The sequence below is a fragment of the Homo sapiens genome, chromosome 4 (genome assembly GCF_000001405.40).
Source record: "Homo sapiens chromosome 4, GRCh38.p14 Primary Assembly".
Lineage (NCBI taxonomy): Eukaryota > Metazoa > Chordata > Mammalia > Primates > Hominidae > Homo > Homo sapiens.
Window position 1 is genome coordinate 105,792,648 of NC_000004.12, and position 21,404 is coordinate 105,814,051.

The following is a 21,404-nucleotide window of genomic DNA, read 5'->3' on the forward strand; positions in this document are numbered from 1 at the left end:
TTAGTGTTAATTATAAAGTATTAATATCATGTTGAGTAGGGTTTCCCTGCATTGAAAATGAGATTGAGCTAGATGACCTATAAGATCCCTGGTAAATCTCTTGTAAAATGATCTACATAAAAGAGCAGTATTTTTTAGAATTGTGAATCTTTACTGCCAGAAGGAAACTTAGACATTTTCTGCTTAAATTCCCGCTACATCATTCTAGTTATAATGAAGCTTAGTCTAGCAATTGCTTTTATGTGCAAATATGAAACAATCATTCTGAAATTCAAACAGCTTATTTTTAATGAACAAGGAAAGCCTACAGTTTCTATGACTTAAAGCTTTTTAGTGTTGATTTCAATTGTGTAATAAAATCTGTAATCTTAATATTTATATAAATCTAAATTAGAATTTGTAAAAATAGTCAAGCTTATAAAAGTCTCATATAAAAGTATGAGAGTAATACTAACTGAATTGCATTACATTTGACCATATGCTAGCCTTTATAAGTGTTATCTAAATCTTAACTCTCTAATCAGCCGCTAGCAATTAAATGGAGTTGAAACATCTCTGACCTATAACAACCTATAGCAAGATGTGCACTAGTATATTTAATATATACTGACACCAGACTTCAGCAATTTTGTCAAGACCTTTGTAAGGTTTTCTTGTATTCTGTTACCTTATTTCCTAAGCCCTATCTCTGATCAATCTGTTTTCAAGCTTACAAATAAGAAATTATTGCTAATTTTTTGGGGTGTGATATCATGATTATGTTTTTTTTTTTAAAAAAAATCTTTATAAGAGATACATACTGACATATTTCAAGGTGAAATAATATGATTGTCTGGAATTTTCTTTAAGATTAAAACAGAGTTCATTCTTAAAAATGCCTATTTTGGTGTTAACTGAATTGAATTGAATTGAAAAAAATATGCCTTACAAGTTTTATTTCATATTTACCCTACCACCCTACCTATATTTTTACATGCATTATTAAGGGAATGCTCTTTATAGTGTGCAGTTTCTACCTCAAATCTCCGCATACTGCATAATCTTGCTTCTCACTCCCTGCCCCCACCCACCGCAGCCAAGATCTAAGTCCCTTTTCCACAAGCCAGTAAAAAAAATTAATGAATTTATGGTTACTTTTAGTATAGCATGAAGCCCACCCTGACAGAGCTATGCTGTGATCTTTTCAAGTTAGATTAAGGGCTCACTAAGCAGGGCATGCCCATTAAATTATAATGTTGTAAAGCTTGAATTCTGGAACACATACTGCTGGCATTTTAGTTTTTAATAGGATTATCCCTACTATGAAATAATTTGAGAACATATGTTATATTCCTGTGAAACTGTGGGTTGATTTGGTATGAAAAGAGATGAGCTGCTTTTCTCTCTGTGTCCAAAAACTATTTGTTTTTAATACTCCGGAGATTATAAGACATATACAGAAAATGAGCATCTCATGAAGCATTTTGATCCTTATTAATCTTACATAATAATGTTTTCTTATTCATGTACTTGAAATATAACAGTAAAAGCACATCTTAACTGTATAAGTCTGAAAAAGGCAAAACTATGGAGACAGTGAAAAGATCAGTGGTTGCCGGACTACTGGGAGGAGGTAGAGATGAACAGGTGGAGCACAGAGGATATTTAGGGCAATGAACATCCCCGTACGATACTACAATGGTAGATATATGTCATTATATATTTGTCCAAACCCATAGAATGTATACCACTAAGAATGAACCCTAATATAAACTCTGGACTTTGAGTTATGATGTGTCAATGTAGGTTCATCACTATTAACAAAGGTACCACTGTGGTTCATGATGCTGACAATGAGAAAGGCTGTCAAGGGGAGGGGAGCAAGAGTTAGGTGGATATATAGCAAATTTCTACAGCTTCTGCTTAATTTTATTATGAACCTAAAACTGCTCTAAAAAATAAAGTCTATAACACACTCACATGTTTTAATATTTTTGGTGTTTTTTTTTTCTGAACTGCCCAAGGGTTTAACAACTCTGTGGCCTATAAAATGTCTTCTATTCAACATATCCTCACCAAGAAAGTATATTCATATATGAAATAAACTTACTGGAGTCTTTTGCATTTCCAAAATTTGAGCTGGATTTTTCTTTTTATTTCTACCACGTTTGTTTTTACTTTTTATTATTTCTGCTTTTATCTATCTATCTATTTATCTATCTATCTATCTATCTATCTATCTATCTATCTATCTATCTATCTATCTATGAGACAGAGTCTCACTCTGTCGCCCAGGCTGGAGTGCAGTGGCGGGCTCAGCTCACTGCAACCTCCGCCTCCCGGGTTCAAGTGATTTTCCTGCCTCAGCCTCCTGAGTAGCTGGGATTACAGGCACCCGCCACCACACCCAGCTAATTTTTTGTATTTTTGGTAGAGTCAGGGTTTCACCATGTTGGCCAGGCTGGTCTCAAACTCCTGACCTCAGGTGATCCACCCACGTTGACCTCCCAAAGAGCTGGGATTACAGGCATGAGCCACCCTTCCTTGTATATTGTGGGTTTTACTTGATATATTGGATCAAATACTTGTTGTTTATTTTTCCATGCTTCTTGTTTTCCAATGAATGTATCTTATAAAAGCTGTAGACATTTTTCTGAGACCTGCTTTGGTTGTATCTCATAAGTATTGATATATCATGTTCTCCTTGTTCTTCATTTCTTAATAGTAGTGCTTTTGTTCTGATTAATATTTTAGAGTATTTATGAAGTATTTTTTATTTTTAGGTGTTTATTGTTGGGATGAGTTTAAGGACAGTTTTTGTTGCATTGTGAGCAGAATCTCTAATCCAGTGTATGATCAATTTCATAAGTGTTCATGGGCATTTAAGAATGTATATTCTGCCTAAGCTGGACACAAAGTTCATACCTGTGTGCATGTGTGTATCTATTCATAAATAAAACATCTTTAGATTCTGCTGAAGCATCTAAAATCATTAGGCCTGTAATCCACCTGGCAACAATTGGCTAGATCCAAGTAGGAAACCTGCCTTCACATACATTTAGGGAGGTTGATCCCTTCTCAGCTCCAGCCAGTTGTACACATACATGTAAACATTTATAGATCACCTTGTTAATTATTTAAACATTCAGTCCTCTGACCTATAGATTGTGATTTAATTGCAAAATGTGTATTTTAGCTTCCCTTGTCGATGATGGCTTTTCAGAGTCTTTTTTTCTAACACTATTTGTTTTACATATTTTGATACTTTGCTGTTCTGTCCATAAAAATTCACAACTGCTGCATCCCTGTAGAATCGAGCTTTCACTAGCTATTTAATATTTTAGCCTTGAGTTCTTTCATCTGATATTAATATTGCAACTTTTGTTTCCTTTTGTTAACTTTACCTGTGTATTAGTCTGTTTTCATACTGCTGGTAAAGACATACCCGAGACTGGATAATTTATACAGGAAAGAGGTTTAATGGATTTATAGTTCCACATGGCTGGGGAGGCCTCACAATAATGACGAAAGACAAGGGAGAGCAAGTCGTGTCTTACATGGATAGCAGCAGGCAAAGAGAGAGAGAGCGAGCTTGTGCAGGGAAACTCCTGTTTTTAAAACCATCAGATCTCGTGAGATTTATTCACCATTGTGAGAACAGCACAGGAAAGAATTGACCCCATGATTCAGTTACCTCCCACTGGGTTCCTCCCATGACATGTGGGAATTGTGGAAGTTACAATTCAAGATGAGATTTGGGTGGGGACACAGCCAAACCATATTGACCTGGAATGTTGATATTCACTCTTATTTCCATTTTTTGTCATATCATTTTTATTTTAGCTGATTTTTATGTTTTTATTATTATTAAATCTGAGCATTCATATCTTTTGGTAGCCAAATACAACATTTGCCAGGTCTGGTTTTATTTAGGCAATGTATCTTTTTCCTTTATTCTTCATGTTTTCTTACTGTCTTTAGTTTCTGTTTTCCTGAATTTTGCCAAATTGATCATATTTCTTTGCTCTCCAACCCCCTTACTTTTGGCTTCTGGTATAAAGGTCACAAACTGATGGTCCTTGGGCCAGAAAACCACAGATATGTATTGATTAGGCCATATACTCCTAAAACATCTTTTTAAATTATTTGCCAACTTTCAAAAAGCTACAGATTTATACATCAGTAATTTTTGGAAATGGGTAAGAGGAAATTGAATTGGATGTGCATTTAGTTTGGATTGGGAGCTATATTTATATGACATACAGTCACTTCTATGTATAGAGGATCGGCTTCCAAGAAGTTCCTGCAGTCACCAGGCTAACTCCATTTCTTCTGAGGCAAGAAAAGCTCCAGTGCCTCAAAAAGATTGACTTGGGTATGGAGAAAGGTTGAAGAGGAAATGATAAGAGACAGAGATACATGTGTGTGTGTGTGTGTGTGTGTGTGTGTGTGTATGTGTGTGTGTGTGCGTCTGGGTTCAGCAGAGGAGGCCAAGTTTGTCAGTATAGGCTCACAGACACCAGGATTTAATAGTCATACCTATCATGTTAGGTAGTTAGTTAATTTCTTTCCCACTACCTCAACTTTTTTCTTGTTATTTTTTTTTCTCCTGTCCTATTTTTTTCCCTGTTGGAACTTGTAAATAAATAATTGGAGTAAATATCACACAAGGATAGTTGTGTTCATATACCAGCATACCTTGGCGATATTGCAGGTTCAGTTCCATACTACCACAATGAAGTGAATATTGCAATAAAGTGAATCACATGCATTTTTTGGTTTGCCAGTGCACATGAAAGTTGTGTTTACACTATACTGTAGTCCATTGTGCAATAGCATTATGTCTTTAAAAAGCATACATAATTTTGTTTAAAAGTACTTTATTGCTAAAAAAAAAATGCTAAGCATCATTGGAACCTTCAGCAAGTCATAATATTTTTGCTGGTGGAGGGTCTTGCCTTGATGTTGATGGCTGCTGACTGACCAGGGTGGTGGTTGCTCAAGGTTGAGGTTTGTGGCAAATTGTTAAAATAAGACAACAATGAAGTTTACTGCATGGATTGACTCTTCCTTTCACAGACTATTTCTCTGTAGTATTTGATGCTGTTTGATAGCATTTTACACACAATAGAACTTTTTTTTTTTTTTTTTTTTTTTTTTTTTTTTGAGACAGAGTCTTGCCCTATCACCCAGGCTGGAATGCAATGGTGCGATCTTGGCTCACTGCAACCTCCGCCTGCTGGGCTCAAGCGATTCTCCTGTCTCCCAAGTAACTGGAATTACAGGTGTGCACCACCATACCTGGCTGACTTTTTGTATTTTAGTAGAGACAGGGTTTCACCATGTTGGCCAGGCAGGTCACAATAGAACTTCTAAAATTGGAGTCAGTCCTCTCAAACCCTGCTGCTACTTTATCAACAATGTTTATATAGTGTTCTAAGTCCTTTGTTGTCATTTCAACAATATTTTCACAGCATCTTCATCAGGAGTAGATTCCATCTCAAGAAACCACTTTTTTTGCTCATCCATAGGAAGCCACTCCTCATCTGTACAGGTTTATCATGAGATTGCACCAATTCAGTCCCATCTTCAGGATCTACTTCTAATCCTAGTTCTCTTGCTATTTCCATTATATCCACAGTTGCTTCCTCTTCTGAAGTCTTAAACCCCTCAAAATGTCATCCATGATGGTTAGAATTAACTTCTTCAACACTCCTGTTCATATTGATATTGTGACCTCCTCCTGTGAATTATGAATGTTCTGAACGGCATCTAGATTGGCAAATCCTTTCCAGAAGGTTTTCAAATTACTTTGCCAAGATCTTTCAGAGATGTTACTACCAATAGCAGCTATAGTGTTATGAAATGAAGTTGTTAAGTAATAAGACCTGAAAGTCAAAATTACTCCTTGAACCATGAGCTGCAGAATGGATGTTGTGTTAGCAGACATAAAAACAACATTAATTTCCTTGTAGATCTCCATCAGAGCTCTTGAGTGACCAAATGCATTGTCAATGAGTCATGATATTTTAAAGGGAATCTTTTTTCTGAGTAGTAAGTCTCAATAATGGTCTTGAAATATTTATTAAAACATGCTCTGAGCAGGTATTCCATTTCTAGAATACAGGCAGAATAAATTTGTCATCATTTATAAGGGCCCTAGGATTTTCAAAATGGTAAATGAGCATTGGCTTCAACATAAAGTCTCCAGCTGTATGAGTCCCTAACAAGAGTGGTCAGCCTGTCCTTAGAAGCTAGGCATTGACTTCCTTTTCTGGATATGAAAGTCCTAGATGGCATCTTCTTCTGATAGAGGGCTAGTTTATCTACATTGAAAAATCTGTTCTTTAGTGGAGCCACCTCATCACTTATCTAGATCTTCTGGATAACTTGCTGCATCTTCTACTTCAGCACTTGCTGTTTCATCTTGCACTTTTATGTCATGGAGATATCTCCTTTATTAAACCTGATAAACCAATCTCTGCTAGGCTCCAATTTTTCTTGTGTAGCTTCCTCACCTCTGTCAGCATTTATAGAATTGAAGAGAGTTAGGGCTTTGCTCTGGATTAGGCGTTTGTATAAGGGAATGTTTTGTCTGGTTTGATCTATTCAGACCACAAACACTTCCCAATATCAGTAATGAGGCATTTTGCTTTCTTATCATTCATGTATTCACTAAAGGAGCGTTTTTAATTTCCTTCAAGAACATCTTTGCATTCATATCTTGGCTAGCTCGTGCAAGAGGTCTGTCTCAGCTTTCAACATGCCTTCCTCACTAACCTTAATAGTTCTAGCCTTTGATTTAAAGTGAGAGACATGTGACTGTTTTCATTGAACACTTAGGGTCATTGTAGGGCTATTAATTGGCCTAATTCCAGTATTTTTGTGTCTTAGGAAATAGGGATGCCCAAGGAGAGGGAGAGAGACAGGAGAACAGCTGGTTGTTGGAGCAGTGAGAACACACACAACATTTATTGATTAAGTTTGTTGTCTTAAGTGGGCATGGTTCGTGGCTCCCCAAAATAATTTCAATAGTAACAACAAAGATCACTTATCACAGATCTCCATAACAGATATAATAATGAAAAAGTTTGGTGTATTATGAGAATTACCAAAATGTGACACAGAAACATAAAGTGAACACATGCTGTTGGGAAAACAGCACTGATAGACTTAACACAGCGTTGCAAAAAAAAAAAAAAAATCTTCATTTTGTAAAAAACACAGTATTTCTAAAGCACAATAAGAAAGAGGTATATCTGCTTGTTCTTACTTATAAGTGGGAGCTAAACATTGAGTACACATAGACACAAAGAAGGGAACAGTAGACACCAGGGCCTACTTAAGGGTGTAGGGTAAAAGGAGGGTGAAAATTCTTCATTGACATGGCTTTCACGGAAGATTATTAAATCCTTTTATTGTACTTACATAGAAATTTACAAATACCTGTATTAGTCCATTTCACACTGCTGATAAAGACATACCCGAGACTGGGCAATTTACAAAGGAAAGAGGTTTAATGGACTTGCAGTTATACATGGCTGGGGAGGCCTCACAATTATGGTGGAAGGCAAGGAGAGCAAGTCACATCTTATGTGGATGGCGGCAGGCAAGAAGAGAGCTTGTGCAAGGAAACTCTCATTTTTAAAACAACCAGATCCCATGAGATTTACTATCACAAGAACAGCACAGGAAAGACCCACCCCCATAATTCAATCACCTCCCACCAGGTTCCTCCCAGGACACGTGGGAATTGTGGGAGTTATAATTCAAGATGAGATTTGGGTGGGGACACAGCCAAACCATATCAATACCATTTAGGCAGTTTTGCCTGATGTCACTGATTTTGGGGGAGCTTTCTAACCTTTAAGAATCTTGGGTTTGAAATTTTTCCCAAGTCTGAACATGAAGAAAAAGTGAAAAATATGTTTAAGCCTATAAAGCAAAATGATGGATTTTATAAATGTGTATGACACAAAATGCAAAAATATTTGAAATTATTCCACACATAGGCAAAGCAAGGAAGAGAATATTCAAAATTGATGTCAATTGCTATTGATGCATAATAGTTGCCCAATAATATGGTCAATTCTCATTATTCGTAGTAGTTATGTTTTATGAAGTCACTACAAACACTGAGTTGGCAAATACTGAACCACTGCTCCTGGGGAAATATAGGGTTAGGTTCTTGCAAGCCTCTGGTCCCATTTTTATCAACTGATAGCCTTATTTTATATGTGCTTCTATTTAAAGACATCTTATTTAATATATATAGTTGATTCATTTACACTGAGTTCACAGCCAACAGCACCATAATGCATGCCTGAACAAACCTTATCTAACATAAATTTTCTCTATAAGGCACATCACAGCCTTCTTGTACTTAGGAAAACTAGACAGCATTTCAGCACTGGCAGCCATTTTAATAGCAAAATCACCCAAAAAAGGCACAAAAATTTGAAAAATGTAGAACTAAATGGACCATGAGAAGGATACTTGTTTATAATATGAGAGCTGAAACAAGAAAGATAGTCATCTTGTTCCACCTCAGCTAGGACTGCTTCTCGACCTTTTGGCTAAGATCAAGTGCAACCTCAGCTAGGAACATGTAATCAGGTGACTCAAATATTTCACTGCTCTGTACATATTCACAAATTACTACAAATGCAACTCAAGAATGGATTTTTGAGTTACAAATAAATTCTAGCAAGTAGGCAAATGCACAAATATAGAATCTGCAAATAATGAGAATTGACTGTATCTCATCCATTCTACTCTAGGCCTTGGAGATATCAAGACGGAATGAGTGCAAACGTTGTTAAATGAATTTTATTAGGGTGATAGTGTTAAAGAATAAAGGGTAGTTTTCTTCTTACAAGTTTTTTAAAGTAATGAAATGACTTAAAATGACATGTTAAAATTATGATTTAATTTGATGAAATCAAATTAAGAAGTAAATAAGTATCTATTATGGGTAACATGACTTCTGTATAAAGTTCATCAATATATTGTTTGATTCATTCTTCTGCTGTAATGAGCATGCAGTATTCTCTGATTTTTTTAATGAAAAGAAAAATGGGTAATTATGTTGGGAACAAAAATTTAAAGTAAATAAAATTAAAACCAAATTTTGATGACAGATTTAGAAAAATTATCTGCACCAAGATTACATAAAATCCACTGTTATTTTCTTGTGATAATTAGCATCATTTTATAACTTCTCTTTTAAAAATTTTCTTTTCCAAGAGCCATTCAGTGGGTGCTTATGAAGTCAAACCTATGAGTCCTGACAGACCTGGTTAGACTTCTACTTTTCTATTTACTAGCTGTGTGACTTGGGCAAATTTATTAACATTTGTAAGCACACTCTTAACTTCATTGTCAAATATAGATAATGAAGGATATCCCTAATTGTAAAATGAATATAATGAAGGATATAATTTATTCTTATTGTAAAATGAGGATAATGTTTATGAGGATGAAATGGGATAGTACAGTATATAAAAACTACTTAGACTAAAGCTTGGCACATCATGATATTGTTTGTTTGGTTTGCTTGTTTTGTCAGAGAAGGTATCTCTCTAAATACTTGAATATGTTTCTACTGCCTTCATATGTAAATGCAGCTGTGTAAAGTATTCTTAAGCCACAATTCTCTCTTCAAATGTTGCTCCATTATGTGGCATATAATACTGTAGAGTGATCTGAGGCCAGCCTCTTTTCTATACTTGTGCATAACCTGTTATCCTGCCTTCATGCCTTAATACTTAAAGTGTTCTGTCTGATCAAAACCTTTGCCTGTTTATTCATTTTTTTCTTAGGATACCTAAAGGCAGTAGAATCTTTTTGTTTGTTATTTTTACCATACCAGGTGAGTTCTTTGAAATATAATTTATAACTATTTTCTGTCTAGTAATATTTCCTTCCTTCAAAACAATTTACATTTTGAATAAAATTTTCCTTCCATATATTCTGGTCTTGTCTTCAGGAACACTGGTTATCCATAAGTTTACATTTCATCATCTATTCACCATACTCCTCATATTTCTCTTCCCTTTAACTTCTTTTTTCTCTCTGTCCTCTTCTTTGCATTCAGGAGGTTCTCTTAAGCCATAATCCAGTTTTTCTGCAATAGTAATCTGCTTCTTAACATTTATAATGTGGCGTTTGCTATGTTTGTAAAGCTATAATAACACCACATTGCTATAAAGATTGTCATATATCTGGGATCACGTAGGATGTATCTGGAATCAGGAGTAAGCCAAGAAGTCTCTGATCTCTTGAAGTAGTTGGGCAAACACCCTACACTCTAGTGTGAGGTGAGTAGATGTGAAGGATAAGCAACTTACATTTACTGAAGGCCACTGGTTTGCTGGGACTCTGCTGCAGTACTATTTATTTCTCACAATAGTCCTACAAATACTATTGTTATTTACATTTTACAGATGAAAGGCAAATACTCAGAAGTATTTGACAAGGTCAGACAGCTAATGAATGGGCCAAATATGAAATACCAAAACATTTGTTCCTTTCACAATATTTTTCATCTCATATGGCAACATGCATTTCCCTGAGAAAAGCTCCCATTTGGTTTTTCAGTCATAATTTATTTTTCCTTCTTGTTGGTACTATTCTCAAATGGCTGGCCTCCAGTTCTACAGGGGAAATATTGAATGTAGAAAATGTTAAAATAAACATTGATAGCATCAAGAAGTTCTTGCCAATAGCTTAAGAGTCAGAGAGGAGATAGAAAAAGTATAAAAAGCAGACTAAATTTACTGATTCTCATAAAAATTAGAATATGTATCTCTATAACCTGAGGGCATTATTATAATGCTATATTATTTATAATTGATACTCATAAATATGACACAGTCATTAAGAAAAGATGAAATTATGTTCAAGTTTTTTAAAGAAGGCTAGGAAACATGTAACTGACAAGAAATTTCAAAGTTGTAAAAAATGTTTTGGGTTATTTGTAATAGCAGAAAAAATTGAAATATCCCAAATGACTATCCACAGGAGAATGGACAAATTATATCATAGCTCTAAAATGGAATACTAAGAGTAGTGAAAAAAAAAATGCAACTCCATGTGTCAACATGGATGCAACTTGAAAACATAATGTTGTATGAAAAATGCAAGAATTATACATATAATTCCATTTATATGAAGTTTAGGAAACTTCAAATCTGAATGATATATTATTAGAAATACATATCTATGTGGTAAAACTCAAAAGAAAACCAACAGAATGGTAAACACAAAATTCAGTATAGTGGTTATTTCAGGGCTGGGAAAGGTGAGGGAGATACAGTTGGTTAGGGATATGTACATAGGACTTCAAAAATACTACTAATTTTTTGTTTTTGTAAAGCTGGATAATGGATACTTCAGTAGTTTTTATCATCACCATTATTATTTATAACTCATGTAGTTTAAAATGTATTTCTATTTATGAACCAAAAAAACTGGTTCTTAAGAGTATATTTTAGTTATCTGGTAGTATTTAGTTATCAGAAATTTTCCAAAAATGTCAGATTGGTGATTCATTATTGTTATTATTACAATGTAAAACATAAACAGATGGCTATATCAGGAAGCTTGCTTTTAAAATAATATTCATTTATTTAAATAAAGAAACTTTTCTATTAAATAGAGTTTGGATAACAGTATTTATTAGATAGTTTTTATGAAAAGGAATTATTCAAAATAGAATAATCCCCTAAATTATAGTATGTCTTCTAAAAATTCTGGTGCTTTGGGTTAGTGAAGAGTAAATTTCAGTAACAAAACATTGTGTTAAATTTTAGAGAAAGCGTCACCTAATTCAGAGGATTTATATGTCATGATTATTTAATGTTAATTACCTGAGGGCATTGTAGAAATTTCTGTTAAATACCTGAGGGTGTTGTAGAAATTCATGGAGGACATTTTTTTACCCTCTAGTAATCATGACTGAGCATCTACACATTGCAATACTTATTCTATTCTAAAATACTGATTCTTTTTTTCTTCAACCTTTATTTTAAGTTCAAGGGTACATGTGCAGTATACGCAGGTTTGCTACATAAGTGAACGTGTGCCATGTTGGTTTGTGGCACAGATCATCCCATCACCTAGGAATTAAGCCGAGCATCAATTAGCTATTTTTCCTGATGCTCTCCACCCTCCCTTCCAACAGGCCCCCTGTGTGTGTTGCTCCCCTGCCATGTGTCCATGTGTTGTCATCGTTCAGCTCCCGTTTATAAGTGAGAACATGCAGTGTTTGGTTTTCTGTTCCTGTGTTAGTTTCTGATAATGATGGCTTGCAGTTCCATCCATGTCCCTGCAAAGGACATGGTCTCGTTCCTTTTTTATGGCTGCATAGTAAAATACTGATTTTATTTCTCCTTCATATTACAGCTATTATATTTATTTTTATTTAGATTACATAGGTCAATAAGCTAAATTCAATAATTGAAAAGGGATATTATAAAATATTTATTGTAAAAGGGTGTTAAAACTGATAGGGCTAAGAAAAAACTAATCTGAAACCCATATGGAATATGTGGACTAATTTTTCTGAAGGGTTAAGATCAAGCCAGAAATCTCTAAGAAAAATTACATGAAGATTTAGAAGCTTTATGTATTTCTCCACTGTGTTTTTATTTTAATTGCATTATAACCCATAATTAATAATCTAATGCAGATTGACATCCATGAATAAGAAAAAATCTATTACTTTTCATTTCTTGTTTATGAATAAAAGGATTCAGCTTCCCTTTTATTAAAACTCGAGAAGGCACATCTATTTTGAAAGGTTTTCTAATATATTTTTCATTGAGAATTTTTTAATACACAATTATTTTTAATTTCATCTGTCATTTTGGGAGGGAATAGAATGTAAGATTCTGTTTGGTTTTTATTGTTTTTTAACAGGTGGTTTGGGAACAGAGTATACTCTGATGCCTTGTATCAGGATCGCTCTTTTATGCAAAATGCTTTACTTTTCCTGGAAACTAATCTCCTTAAAAGCTAATACCCAAATCAAACAATGTACCCTTTTCAGTGCTGAATAAAAATGGGTCAGGAAGGGATTAAAAAACTGGCATTGCACTAAAGTGAGGCAATGAAAGTTTTACTTTTCAAGCTCCCCTTGTTATATGAGAATTTATAAATTACCAGTAATTTAGCCTCCATTCTTCTGCCTCTTCTTCTTTCCCTCCCCCTATGTAAGCCATTATTGTTATTACATGTATGAAACACTGTTTTTTTAAGAAATTTTCCCATTACATCTGTTAGAAATTTAGAATGTCAATCAGCATTGAATCCAGTTTGCATCATCTGTATATTTAATCAGTGAAAAAACTTAGGCTGATTTTGCATTATATTTACTACTTCAGTTTCTGCCTGTGTCCCTTTTTCATTCATCTCCTTTTTCCTTAGTGTCTGATGATCAACACTGTGTCCTTAATAGGTGTCAAGTTTACTGAAGTGTTTGATTCAATAAACATATCTGAAAATCTAGGTACAAAGACTTGTAACAGTTGGTATAGAGTTGAATAAATATAAGAGTTTGCAGTCTTATTGAAAATCCCTCAAAATAAGACTAACTTAGATATCTCCAGTACAAATGAAAATAGGTATCTGACTGTGGAGAGAGTATCTAAACTTTTTGAGCTTCTTTTATTCATATGGAAAATGGAGGACAAATGCAGACCTTTATATAGTTTTCTATAGTTAGTTTTCAGTACAGGAGATAAGGTATACAAGGTTCTTAGCATAGTACTGCCATGTAGGAGGATTCCAATAAATGGTTTATATTATTGGTACTGTTTTTATATTTGGCCATTAAACCATGCTTATTTTCTCCACATTATCTGTTTCCCTACTCTGAACCTATCAATTAAAAAGAATATCCAAGTCTCTATGTTTTTGCCTATAAAATAACTGGATTAGACTTGGTGAGTTTTAGGGTTTCTTTCATCTTTATAATTATGTAGAACTTTGTTTAAGGAAGTGGGTACCATCCGTATACAGATTTTCCAAGTCAACTTAGTGTATATAAGTATTTCATATCATCTCTTCCTCTCTTCAAATGTTCAGTACTTCCTCCCTTTCTCTCTTAATTCAAAGAGAAAATAGAAAAATCAGAAAGAGCTCTACATATTTTATCAGTAAACACACCAACATATCTGTTTCTATGTCCATACGCTATAGGCCCTCCGATCCTATTCCCATTTAAGCCCATGTCTCACTGTGCACTGCATTTCATCCCCTTGTGTCCTCAGCAGTTTTTCTTATCAGTTATGCCAATCAGATAGCAAAAATTCTAAGGTGACTTTCACTTTTTAAAATCCTCCCTTACCTCACTTAGCCCTACACCGACCACGCCATTTACGTGCTCCCCTTTAACAAAACTCCTTAGATATTCATGACTTCATCTTCTCTTCCTCTACTTTCTTCTTCCAATCTTTTGTTTAAAATTACCCATTTTTTAAAGTTGTAAAAGTAGTATAATGAATACCCATGTAGCCTTCATATAGAATCACCAGTTTTTACTATTTTGCCTTACCTTCCCTCTTTATCTGACATACACATTTTTCTTCAACCATTTGAGAGTTCCTTGCAGACATCATAACATTTCACCGCAAAATACTTCAACGTGTGTCTCCTAAGAAAAAGGGCATTCTCTTATATAATCACAAGCCAATTATCACCTACAGGAAATTTGACATCAATATAATAATGTTATGGAATACACTGCCTGTATTGAAATTCTCCCAATTGTTCAATAGCGCTCTCACTCTCTTTGAATATGCAATAACCAATCAAAGATAGGCATTGTTTTTAGTTGTCATATATCTTAAGTATCCTTTAATATAGGATCCTGTCCTATAAAATTTGTTTTGTCTTTCTTAACTTTAACATTTTGAAAAAGAATCTATTCTAGGTATTTTACAGAATGTTCTCAATTTGGATTTATCTATTTCCTCTATTAGATGAAAATTAAACTATTGGCAAGACTGCAACAGAATGACTCAAATATTTTGGCCAGCATACTATAGAGCTAATGGTGTATGCCTTGAGTATACCACAGCAGGGAGCACATGGTATCAGTTTGACACATTGTTTGTGATATTAGGTTTGATCACTTGGTTGATATGGTGTCTGTCAGATTTCTTCATTGTAAGAATACCGGTTTCCCTTTGTAATAATAGTCTCTGAGGAGCTACTTTGAAACCATCGTGTTCTCCAGTAAGTTTTCCTCAATGGTTTTAGCATCCGTTGATGATTTCTATGCAAATCAGTTATTACAACGGTCATTATTAAATGGTGATTTTTGTATTTCTATTATGCCTTGTACATGTATCAGTTTTCCTTCTTCTCTCTTGATCCTATGATAATCAGACCTCTGTCCCATCATTCTAACAAAACTGCTGTTGTCAAGGTTACTAATGACTTCTGTTTACTAAATATAATAGACTAGTCTCAGTCCTTATCTTATTTGGTGTATCAGCTGCATTTGACAAAGTTGATCATTTTTCTCTTGAAATACCCCTTGGTTTGCTTCTGAGAAACCAGTAGAATAACCCCTTATCAGTCTCCTTATCAGCTTCCAAATCTCTAAACATTGAAAAACTCAGGGCTTAGTCCTTATACCTCCACTGCAAAACAATATATGGCAGTTTGATTCTTTCTAATTGCTCAGGCTCAGAACTCTAGAGTTATCCCTGTCTCTTTATTTTACTCTCTACATCAGTCCATCAGCAAATTCTGTCAGCTCTGTTTTTAAAATATGTTTCAAGTCAAATCACTTCTCACTACCTCCACTGCTGTATCTTAATCTAAGCAACTATCATGTCTAGCCTTGACTATTTCAGTAGTGACCTAGTTAGACTTCCTATTTAAGTCAAATAATGTCCCCAAATCCATCTAATTCAAAATAAAATCCAAAGTTTCCACATAGATTAAAAAGCTTTGCATACTGTAGCCCCTGGCTACTTCTTTGATCTTCTCTTCTGCGGTCTGGAATTCACTAACTGCAGCAGTCCTCCCTTATTTGCAGTTTCGCTTTCTGTGGTTTAGTTACCCGCAGTCAACTGTGGCCCAAAAATATTAAATGAAAAATTCCAGAAATAAACAATTTATAACTTTTAAATAGCACATCATTCTAAGTAGCATGATGAAATCTGGCACAATCCCACTGCGTTCTGCCTGGGACATGAATCATTCCTTTGCCCAGCAAATCCACACTGTGTACACTACTAGCCTGATGGTCACTTAGTAGCTATCTTGATGATCAGATCGACAGCTGCAATATTGCAGTGCTTGAGTCCAAATTTTACTTAATAATGGCTCCAAAGCACAAAAGTAATGATGCTGACAGTTTGGATATGCCGAAGAGAAGCTATAAAGTGCAAGCATTAAGTGAAAAAGTAAAAGTTATTGACTTAATAAGGACAGAAAAAACTCATATGCTGAGATTGCTAAGATCTGTGGTAAGAACACATCTATCCATGAAATTATGAAGAAGGGAAAAGAATCCATTCTAGGTTTGCTGCCATACCTCAAGCTGCAAAAATTATGGCCATTTCAGTGTCTTTTAAGTGTTTGGTTAAGATGGAAAAGTCCTTAAATTCATGGGTAGAAGACATGAGCAGAAATGTGGTCTGATTGATGGCAGTCGGGTTCAATACTATCTGAGGTTTCAGTCATTCACTGAAGGTCTTAGAATGCATCCCCAAGGATAAGGGGAGACTACTGTATACTTGTTATTCTCTTTGTTTGGAAAACTCTTCCCCTAGATAATCCATACACCTTACTCTCTCACTTTATTCAGATCTCAATGTCACCTTATTAGAGAGGCCCTTTCAGGTCAGCCTATCTGTAATACGTTTACTCTTCCTTGCTCTTTCTCCCCTTTCTAATTTTTCTTTTTAACCCCTAATATAGTATATTTATTTGTTTTGTGTGTATCACCTATCTACCCCCACTGGAATGTGTACTCCATGGCAGCAAGGACTGCAATATACCCAACCCTTAAAACAGTGCCTAGCACATCTTAAGCACCTAATAAATATTTGTTAAATTAACTGTTGAAATTCTTAGTATTCTATTAATGACGACAAGTAAAGACAGGTTGGTTTTTTTTTTTCCACTTTCAATGTAAGTCTTAATTTTATACCTGGTCTTTTTTCCTCCTAAGACATTGTTTACATTGTCTCAAAGTATACTGCAGTGAGAAATTGTGTTTTTCTAGGTTGTATAAATTAATGGGTTATTTATAGTGTTGCTGCTGCTACTACTAATCCCAGTATGTTTTTCTCAGTATTTGGATATGATTCCTTAAAAGGTAACAAATTTCTTAGATGCTAACCTAGTTTTTTTTATTATAAATAATAGCACAAAGTCTTTTATTAAATCATTCATTTATGAATTTTAAAGGCCATCAATACAAAGTATTTATTTTACTGCCCTACATAATTCTCTAGGAAGTCTACCTGTCTTATATTGGCTAATGAAGGGAGAAAGTTCTAACTTCTCTGTATTGAATTAAAAGTAAAACTAGCCACATGTTTATAAGATTAAACTAATGCAAAATTTTAACTCACCAACATCGCCCTGGTATTTTTTTTCTTCTATTTATTTGGTTTCTCTGTGTATCATATATATGTGGGATTTAAATAATAGGAAGAAATATATAAGACCTCAAGTCTGATTTTAGCAGTTCTTGGTTTGTTTGAACGAGTGAGGAAATTATCATGCTTGTTTTGTGGGTATGCAGATACACAAATGTTACTTATAAATGCCCTCATGCTACCATGTCTGTGTCTCTAACATCAGGGGATGGATTTCAGAGAAGATAATGAGGTGTTTATATTCTGTTTTTTTACTGGGTATCCAGAAATGTTAAATTTTAAGCATTATCTTCAAGAGTTCTCATACACAATTAGCTATTTCATTATAAAATTAAATGATTGATTTTAACGGTGAACACTACTTATGACTTTATGTTCTCAGGATATTTTTAAAGTTTACATTGTATATGTCATGTTGTTTTCCTATGTTAATTTTCAAGAAGACATATTATAATAACTAATATATTTGAACTTTTAAACATCATTTTTGTAGCTCTCAATTTCAAGGAATAAAAATTATTTTGGTGCCTTTTATTCCTTTATGTTAATATTACCTTCTCAGTGACAGGAGCCCAAGTAGCATATAACTGAGTTTTGCATTTTAAGTAATTTCTGGAGGTCCCTGGGAAATACAGTTGTCCTGAGGTGGAAGGGTCTATAATCTAAAGAATCTGATCTGTGTCTTTGTTGACTCACTGCATTCATTGGAACTGGATTTTAAAGAGCAAGTAGGCATTTTTAGGCAAAGAGGTAAATAAAGCAATATTTCCTGAAGTAGATTCCTAAAATAGTCCCTAAAGATAATTAGATAGTAAAAACATTCAGTTGTCAAGTAATCTGGGGAAATACTATGTTATTCTGGATTAAACACTTTCTGTACTGCAAGACTCCTTAGCACTTTTACTATGCTAGTGGGCATTGCGATTCTCCAAAAAAATAGAAAAGGTATTAATTTTCTAAAGCTACCTGATGGTAGAACTCACTATTTTTCTCTCTAAATATCTTTTTATATCTCTTTCCTCTTAGTATCTTGAGAGACTACTGTTCCACAAGTGTGAAATTTCTGAAATATTAGTATTCATGACAAAGTAAACTGCATGTTTAAAACCTCAGAAAGATGATACATCATGGCGTGTTTGAAGAATAACTGGTAGTTTCATCTGACCAGAGAATGATGAGATTATGGGAGTAAAGGAGTGGCAGGAAGTGAGCTCAACCAGATGATGAAGTCTCAATGTTAAAAATCTAGGAAGGGGAACATCACACTCTGGGGACTGTTGTGGGGTGGGGGGAGGGGGGAGGGATAGCATTAGGAGATATACCTAATGCTAGATGACGAGTTAGTGGGTGCAGCACACCAGCGTGGCACATGTATACATATGTAACTAACCTGCACAATGTGCACATGTACCCTAAAACTTAAACTATAATAATAAAAGAAAGAAAAAAAAAATCTGTCCTATCAGCAGTGGGGGAACCAATGAAGACTTTTAAGAAGGGAAATAGCATGAACACATTTGCATTTTAGAAGGAATGGGCATGAAAAGGTGAGACTTTAGATCTGAGTGTTTAATTAGAAGACTATTACAAGTGATAAATAATTGTGAACTGAAGATGTGGCTTTGGTTGGAGGATGATGAGTGGATGATGATATTATTAACAAATAGAATATCAGGAAGAAAACAAGTTTCATGGTAAAAGAGTTCAGTTTTTGGACATGTTTGGCTTGAAGTCTCTGGATGGCACAGGCATATATTAAGAATGCAATTGGAAAATCTGATCTACAGTTCTAGAGAGCAGTGTGAACTGAACTATGTATAGTTTTGGGTATCAGTATGATGTTTCAAACCATAAGAGGACAAGAGAGAGATAATAGACATCTTTCTGATAAATGTTACGCATCCCACCTGAGTTTTTCTGTGGTAAATTTACTTCAAATCCAGAATCTTTGGTTCTGAGTTTCTGAAAATTTCTTTAAATGTTATCAAAATCTAGAAAGTATACCTTTAGCAAGTAAACATCAGGATTGCTGTGATTACTTTGGTTATTTGGTCGGTTGGTTTTGCGTATGTGTGCTTGTGCATGCTTACACACTATAGTTTTTTATTTTTATTTTTATTTTTATTTTCATGTAGAGACAGGGTCTCACTGTGTTGACCAGGCTGGTCTCAAACTCCTGGCCTCAAGCAGTCTTTCCGCCTCTGCCTCCAAAGTGCCAGCATTACTGATGTGAGCCACCATACCTGGCTGTATACTATGTTTTAAATCAGCTATTGTCCATTACTTTTGCATTTAAAAGTCTAAACAGTGAAGACATAGGAGAATTTGTATTTACTGAATTAGGTTGTGGCCAAAAGAAGCACCTACTCTGGGTATACAATAACCATTAAGGTAAGTCTTGAATATATATATTTTTTTTACTAAATCCAAGCCATTTATATATATATGTTTTAACTCCAGCACTCCCACCACATGACATTTCCTTGAAAAATATACTTTAGCATGTCTCTCATGCTGATTTTAGATTGAAATAAATATATTATCAAAAGGATAATGTTTAATAATGATGAAAATTTCTCTGGTGTCAGAAAAACAGATGAAATAAATACAGAGGGGAGGCAGCATAGTGCATTCTAAAGTAGAAAAAAGTTATATTTATTTATTTTTCTTAAAAAGACAGTAAGCTTTACTACTATTTAACAGAGAAATTGTTAGTACTATGTATATTTGGGTCCTATTCAAAATATTTTACTAATAAAGGATTTATGTTTTCTGGGGTGGTAGGTGAGAGCACACACCTTGAACTGAGACCAGCAGGATTCAAATCCTGGCTCCATCATGGAGTAACTATGTGACCAAAGCAAGCTACTTCATTATTTTTGTTTACATTTTTCATCTGATAATGCAATAACAGTACCCAACCTCATTGAGCTGTTACAAAAAAGGATTGATATAATAAATAAAATATGCTTAGCACATCGTAATCATTCAGTAGTGCTAATACCAGCAAATAAGAATATCCATTCAGTGGACTTCATATATACAGGTTGAGCATCACTAATCCAAAAATCCAAAATCTAAAATGCTCCAAAACCTGGAACTTTTTGAGTGCAGACATGATGCAACAAGTGGAAAATTCCATGCATAAGTACTTATTACAAACTTTGTTTTGAGCACAAAATTATTTAAAATGTTGCATAAAATTACCTTCAGGCTATTTGTATAAGGTATATGTGAAACATAAATAAATTATGTGTTTACACTTGAGACCCATCCCCAAGATATCTCCTTATGTACTTGCAAATTTTCCAAAATCCAGAAAAAAAATTTCTGAAACCCAAAATACTTCTGGTCCCAAGCATTTCAGACACTCAACCAACATTCATGATGAGTCTAAGTATGCACAATTGTAATGATCTCCCTCAAACATCCCTAGCTCTTTTCTACCTAAAGACTATTGCATCAGCAGTTCCGTTTATATGGAGTGCTTTTTCTCTTGTTTCCCATGGCTGGCTTCTTCTTTTTATTCAAATTTCAATTCAGTTACCTGCTCAATGATGGCTTCAAGATTACCTAATATAAAATATTCACCTAGTCAATTTCAACCATATTATTCTATTTTAATTTTCTCCAAATCATCACTTAATTTTTTATTATAAAACTCCCATCACTGGAATGTAAACATCACTCTTGTTCTCCATTGTTTCCAGCACCTTGATCAGGGCCAGGCATATAATAAGTGCTTTAAAAAAATTTGCTAAATTAATGAACTAGTCTGTTGAGGTTGTCATGAAAGAACCA

The 21,404-nt window shown here is 34.4% G+C and overlaps 1 protein-coding gene across 8 annotated transcripts in view; it reads left to right on the forward strand.

Annotated features, from left to right (window-relative positions):
• The window catches only part of GSTCD (glutathione S-transferase C-terminal domain containing), a 138,942-nt gene that overhangs the window by 83,864 nt on the left and 33,674 nt on the right, over positions 1–21,404 (forward strand). The window lies entirely within an intron of this gene.